The following is a 6,807-nucleotide window of genomic DNA, read 5'->3' on the forward strand; positions in this document are numbered from 1 at the left end:
CAGCAATAGATAAGTAACATACTTTAAAAATTAGTGCAGTACCTAAGATATAAAGGGTATTTAAATAACCTTGTCGAATAAATAAATGACCTCAGAATCTTAATACTAATGGCCATGCTAATAATGAATACTTACTGAGTGACTACTATGTGCCAGGCCTGTAATAGACATTATCTTAAGTTATCATAGAAGAGTAGGAACAATTGTGATTCCTATTGTGTAGATGATAAAACTGAGACCTAGGGTGGTTACATAAGTAGAGTCAGGATTTAAACTCACTTCTATTTAACTCAATTCTTGATATATCTACCACTGTTCTGCCCTCTTTGTCTATCTTGGCATTTTAATCTAATTTTTTATTTTATAGAAAGGAAAATGGACCTGGCAAAGGGAAAGGATTTAAGTCAAGGTTACACAATGAATCAAAGACAGAGCCAGGACTAGCACTCCAGCCTCCTGATAGTCTATCAGTGCATTTTCTATCTCCTATCCTAGCCTGCCTTGAAGATACCAGACTGTCAGGAAAGGCTGGCTATATCTTTGTGAGTTCCACAATCATGCCGTTGATGGCTACCTTATGTATCACCCAAGCATGGCAAATGCAGTTACCCAATGACATCCATGCCCAAAATCGAACTTATTTACAGTAACTACACCTGCTTCTCCAGTAAGAAGCTCCTGTGTAATTGAGTGGACCAGGCAGGAATTAGATCTGGGCCCATGATCTATACAACCTGCCTGTAGCTTAATCTATGTCAATTATTTCTGCTGATCTCTGTTCTGTAGCAAAAGTTAACCATGTGGCTTTGGGAAGGCCAACAGAGGGGCAGCAGCAGATACATTTGGAAAGGGTCGTGCAGATGGTATGACTTGTCAATTTTAAAATTAGAAGAGCTTTGGGGTGGGCTTGCTTACTTTTTACATAAATTCAAAATGCCGTCTACCCCTTTCCTGATACCCTGGGCATCTTCTTTGCCAGGAAGCTTTCTTTTCTCCTTTTAAGGGGGTCCACCATGTATTGAGGTATCATTACTTTTCTTTCTCTGTGACTAGAATTTTCTGGACACAAGAATTTTGTCTTGTTTATCTCTGTGTCACTAACACATCATTCAGTGCCTGGGACATGGCAGATCACTTGACTGTTAGGCTGGAAGTAAATGAAAAGAAAAGGGGAGAAGTATATCTACCTCCACCCTAATGTCCTACGCTCTCCCTCTCCCATTAGCGTGTCTCTTCTTTTTCATGCATGTCAGCATAGGGTACAACGTAGTTTGTCCTAAACAGAATATGAAAGGTAATTAAACTAGCTCAGAAATAAGCCCTTGATCAACATCTCCAAAGCTTTTTTTTAATTGGCTCCTTGAATATTTGAATATTATTTTTTTCCTTGAGAGAGTCCTATTATATAATTAAGAATCCAAAGGCTCTAAAAGTCTGATAATAATAAAGAAACTAGAATTATTTTCTTTCATTTTTGAACCCACTTATTATGGGATGATTGACATATAAAAGACTGTACATATTTAATGTATACATCTCAGTGAGTTTGGGAAAAAACTATACATTATGATGCCATCACCTATCATGGCCGTAGACATACATGTAACCTTCCAAAGTTTTCTCTTGCCCCCATTATGATGATAATCATGATGATTATTTTGGTACCAAGAACACTTAACATAATATCTACCCTCTTAGCAAATTTTAAGTATACAATACAGTATTGTTAGCTGTCAGCACTATGCTCTATAGTAGATCTCTAGAACTTACTTATTTTGCACAACTAAAATTTTCACCTTCCCATTTTCAACCTCCTTCCAGCCCCTGACAACTGCCGTTCTATAATCTACTTCTATGAATTTGACTACTTTAAATTTTACATATAAGTGAGATCACGCAGTATTTGTCCTTCTGTTTCTGGCTTATTTCACTTAGCATAATGACCTTCAGTTTAATCAATGTTGCTGCAAATGGCGGGATTTCCTTCTTTTTAAAGGCTGACATTCCATTGTGTGTGTGCATGTGTGTATATATATATATGTATGTGTGTGTGTGTATACACACATATATATAATTATCTTTACTTTTAAAAAAAAACTGGCTGGGTGCAGTGGCTTATGCCTGTAATCCCAGCACTTTGGCAGGCTGAGGTGGGCCGATCACATGAGGCCAGGAGTTCGAGACAAGCCTGAGAGATAGGGTGAAACCCCATCTTTACTAAAAATACAAAAATTAGCCAGGTGTGGTTGTGCATGTCTGTAATCCCAGCTACTCGGGAAGCTGAGGCATAGGAATCGATTGAACCCGGGAAGCAGAGATTGCAGTGAGCCGAGATCACCGCTTTCCAGCCTGGGTGACAGAACAAGACTCTGTGTCAAAAAAAAAAAATTACTTTTAAATTGATAAAAACAAGGTAATTCATTGTTAGTTAGCTTGATTTAGACTTTCTACAAGGTATACATATATCAAAACATTGTATCATATACCATAAGTATATACTTTTTTTAATATCACAATTTCGTTGTCCATTTATTCATTGATGGACACTGAAGTTGATTCCATATCTTGCCTATTGTGAATAATGCTGCAATAAATGTAAAAGTGCAGATCTCTCTTCAAGACCCTGATTTCAACTCCTTTGAATATATATCCAGAAGTAGGATTGCTGGATCGTATGGTATTTCTGATTTAAATTTTTTGAGGTGCCTCCATACTATTTTCCATAGTGGTTGCACTGATTTTCATTTTCACCAACAGTGTACAAGGGTTCTCTTCTTCATATCCTTGCTTACACTTGTTTTCTTTTCTTTTTAATTTATAAAGAAAATAGGTTTAACTGGCTCACGATTGTCTGGGCTGTACAGGAAGCATGGCACCATCTGATTCTGGGGAGGTCTCAGGGAACTCTGACTTATGGCACAAGGCAAAGTGGTAGCAGGCACCTTCACATGGCTGGGAGGCTGTGTTTTGGGCCCTTTTGTCCATGGCTCTGATCCTTGCTCCAGAAGATAATCTCAGGTTTGGTAATGCAGTGTCCCAAGGATACCAAGCTGCTGTAGGTCTCCAGCATCATGTCTCTGTACAGGGTCTGCTAAGCATCATCCAGATCTGGTCACTCCTCCCAAGTGAAGTCCTTAGCCACATCCTCAAACAACACCAACACCAGAAATGTATTCATTTCTTTTGCTTTTGGAAACACATAGAAGGTTCTGGAATTATAGCAGAGATTTATTCATCTTTGCCACCCTTGGAAATGCACAGAGCACTGGAGCACTATGGAAGCATAGCTTCAGGGATGCTGAACTCAACTGGAGACCTGCAGGGTGGTCAGGAGAGCATAGCTGCTGAAATACAGTAACAAAATGGCAGAAATCCCCTCCCTCCCTCCCTCCCTCCCTTCCTTCCTCTCTCTTTCTCTCTCTCTTTCTTTCTTACACTAGCCATCCTATCAGGTGTGAGGTGGTATCTCATTGTGGCTTTGATTTGCATTTCCTTGACTGATTAGTGACGTTGAACATCTTTTCATACACCTCTTGGCCATTTTTATATCTTCTTTGAACAAATATCTAATCAGCTCCTTTGCCCATTTAAAAAATCATGTTGGCCGGGCGCGGTGGTTCACGCCTGTAATCCCAGCACTTTGGGAGTCTAAGGCGGGTGGATCACGAGGTCAGGAGATCGAGACCATCCTGGCTAACATGGTGAAACCCCATCTCTACTAAAAATACAAAAAAAATTAGCCAGGCGCGGTGGCGGGCTCCTGTAGTCTCAGCTACTTGGGAGGCTGAGGCAGGAGAATGGCGTGAACCCGGGAGGTGGAGCTTGCAGTGAGCCGAGATAGCACCACTGCAGTCCAGCCTGGGTGAAAGAGCAAGACTCCGTCTCAAAAAAAACAAACAAACAAACAAAAAAAAACATGCCATTTGTGGGTTTTTTTTTTCTATCGAGTCATATGACTTTCTTGTATATTTTGTTCATCAATCCCTTACTAGATATATGGTTTGCAAATATTTTCTTCCACTCATTCTTTATGTTGCCTTTTCATTTTATTGATTTTTTTCTGTGCAGAAGCATTTTAGTTTGATATAGGCTTAGTTGTCTATTTTTGGTTTTGTTGCCTGTGCTTTTGGTGTCATATTCCAAAAAATAATTGCCAGGAGAAGGGAAACATCAAGGAGCTCTTTCCCTACGTTTTTCTCTCTAGGAGTTTTACAGTTTTAGGCTTTACATTAAGTCTTTAATCCATTTTGAGCTCATTTTTGTGTATGAGCTAAGAGTCCAATTTCTTTCTTCTGCATATGGATATCCAGTTTCCCAACACCATTTATTGAAGATACTATTCTTTCTCCATTGCGTATTCTTGGTGTCCTTGTTGAAAATTTGCTGCAAATGCATGGGTTTATTTCTGAGCTCTATGTTCTGTTCTATTGGTCTATGTGTCTGTTTTTATGTCAGTGCCATACTGTTTTGATTACTATAGCTTTGTATTATATTTAAAGTCAAGTAATGTGACGCTTTCAGCTTTTTTTTTTTCTTCTCACAATTGCTTTGTTTATATTCAGAGTCTTTTGTGGTTCCATATGAATTTTAGGGTTGTTTTTCTATTTCTGTAAAAAATGTCTTTGGAATTTTGGTAGAGGTTGCATTGAGTCTGTTAATTGCTTTGGTTAATAAGGACATTTTAACAATATTAATTCTTCCAATCTATGAACATAGGGTATCTTCCCATTTTTATGTGTCTACTTTAATTTTTGTCATCAATGTTTTATAGTTTTCAGTGTAAGAATAATTTTCTTTAACTCCATCTTTTACTAATTATTGTGATCATGGGTCCATTTTTCCACTTAACTCCCTTTAGGAAAGTTCCATTAAAAGTATCTTACACTAGGCATGATGGCTTATGCCTGTAATCCCAGCAATTTGGCAGGCTGAGGTGGATGGATCACCTGAGGTCAGGAGTTTGAGACCAGCCTTGCCAACATGGTGAAACCCTGTCTCTACTAAAAATACAAAAATTAGCCAGGTGTGGTGGCGGGCGCCTGTAATCCCAGCTACTTGGGAGGCTGAGGCAGGAGAATCACTTGAACCTGGGAGGTGGAGGTTGCAGTGAGCCGAGATTGAACCACTGGACTCCAGCATGGGTGACAGAGTAAGACTCTGTCTCAAAAAAAAAATTATCTTACACTCTTTCTTATTTTACGGTGAATCAGAATGTGACAGGGCTGGTGGCAGAGGGATTGGTGTCATTTGGAGACCCATATTGTAATCTTAGTAAGAACATAGTTTACAATATGTCACTGGGTTCTTACATTACCTGCACTCTATTAGCCATGACTATTGTGGTTGCAAGCGGCAGAAACCCAAATAAAGAAAAAAAAAAACACAAAGTAATTTATTGGCTCATCTAATTATGATGTTGAAAGATGGACCTGTTTTCAGGACTATAGAGACTCTGAGAGAAAGTTGCTCTCTCTCCCTGTCCTGCTATCTCTCTCCCTGGCTCTTTCTTTCCATCTTTAGCACTATTTCTCATTCCATGTTGGTATCATTTTCCTCTATAACAAATATTCTTTTCCCTTTTGACTTTTGTGTAGTGGCCATTCAGGAATTTACATTATATGGAAGGACAGAAATAGTTATTTGGTCTCTTGTGTGGACCCTGAGAAGTCAGTGAGTTTTACAGAATTTCTTTGGGGGAATGAAATGAATCAATATTCCTTGCACCTGAAGCCTAACCATCTCACAGGACTGTGCTCCCCCTGGGGAAGAACATAAGGGTGTCACAGTCTAAAGATATCATCATCCCTTGGCCGGGCACAGTAACTGACACCTGTAATCCCAGCACTTTGGGAGGCCGAGGTGGGCAGATCATGACATCAAGAGATCGAGACCATCCTGGCCAACATGGTGAAACCCTGTCTCTACTAAAAATACAAAAATTAGCCGGGCGTGGTGGCACGTGCCTGTAGTCCCAGCTACTTGGGAGGCTGAGGCAGGAGAATCACTTGAACCCAGGAGGCGGAGGTTGCTGTGAGCCGAGATCATACCACTGCACTCCAGCCTAGGGACAGAGTGAGACTTCATCTCAAAAAAAAAAAAAAAAAAGAAAAAAAAAGATATCACCATCCCTCAACAGCATACCCGGAAGTCCTTTTTATCATGCCTCTCATATCTTATCAAATGGACTAATCTTTTTTCTTTATGAAAATGCAACTTAGCAGGTTAATCCACCAGTTTACTTACCTTAAGGATGCCCCATGTGGATCTCTCAGCCAGCTTTTATGATCACAACCTCCTTCACTAAATGTTGAGTGATTTTCATTTCCCGTGGTGCTCACATAGGTCACTACTTTAGTCAAGGCTCTTTGGGGTTTGAGGAATATATTTCTACTCACACAGGTTCAAGCTAAAGGAATTTTCATTGTAAGATTATCCTCAATAAGACAGAATAATGTTAATAATAATAATTATTATTAATAGGGTTATTAATAATAGGATAAATCCCAGAGGCCAAAGGCAGGAAGAGGAAGGACACCTCGAGAAAGCTGGAATTGAGAATTACGGAGTAAAGGGCACCATTTCTGCCCCTATCTGGGGCCCTGTGGCCTTTCTCATTTTTTCTCCCTTGTGGAGTCTGCTGTATCCTCCTTTTCTCACCTAGTCTGTCATTCCTCATAGTGGCAATGGCCATGGTCTCATTACTCCCCACATCCTGACCTGGTGCTACTGGTGACCCTCACCAACCGGCAGCTTGGTTTCCCAATTCTAAATTCTGAGAACAGAATTTATGGTCTGAGTCATGTCTCA

The 6,807-nt window shown here is 39.8% G+C and overlaps 1 long non-coding RNA gene across 1 annotated transcript; it reads right to left on the reverse strand.

The window, feature by feature from the left end:
• Positions 1 to 1,326: 1,326 nt before the first annotated feature.
• On the reverse strand, positions 1,327 to 6,807 carry LOC124903079 (uncharacterized). The gene is made up of 2 exons (XR_007063586.1): positions 6,244 to 6,807; positions 1,327 to 3,316 (listed from the first exon to the last, which is right to left on the reverse strand). It is a non-coding gene; the product is annotated as an uncharacterized LOC124903079 (long non-coding RNA).

Source organism: Homo sapiens, chromosome 12 (genome assembly GCF_000001405.40).
Source record: "Homo sapiens chromosome 12, GRCh38.p14 Primary Assembly".
NCBI classification, from domain to species: domain Eukaryota; kingdom Metazoa; phylum Chordata; class Mammalia; order Primates; family Hominidae; genus Homo; species Homo sapiens.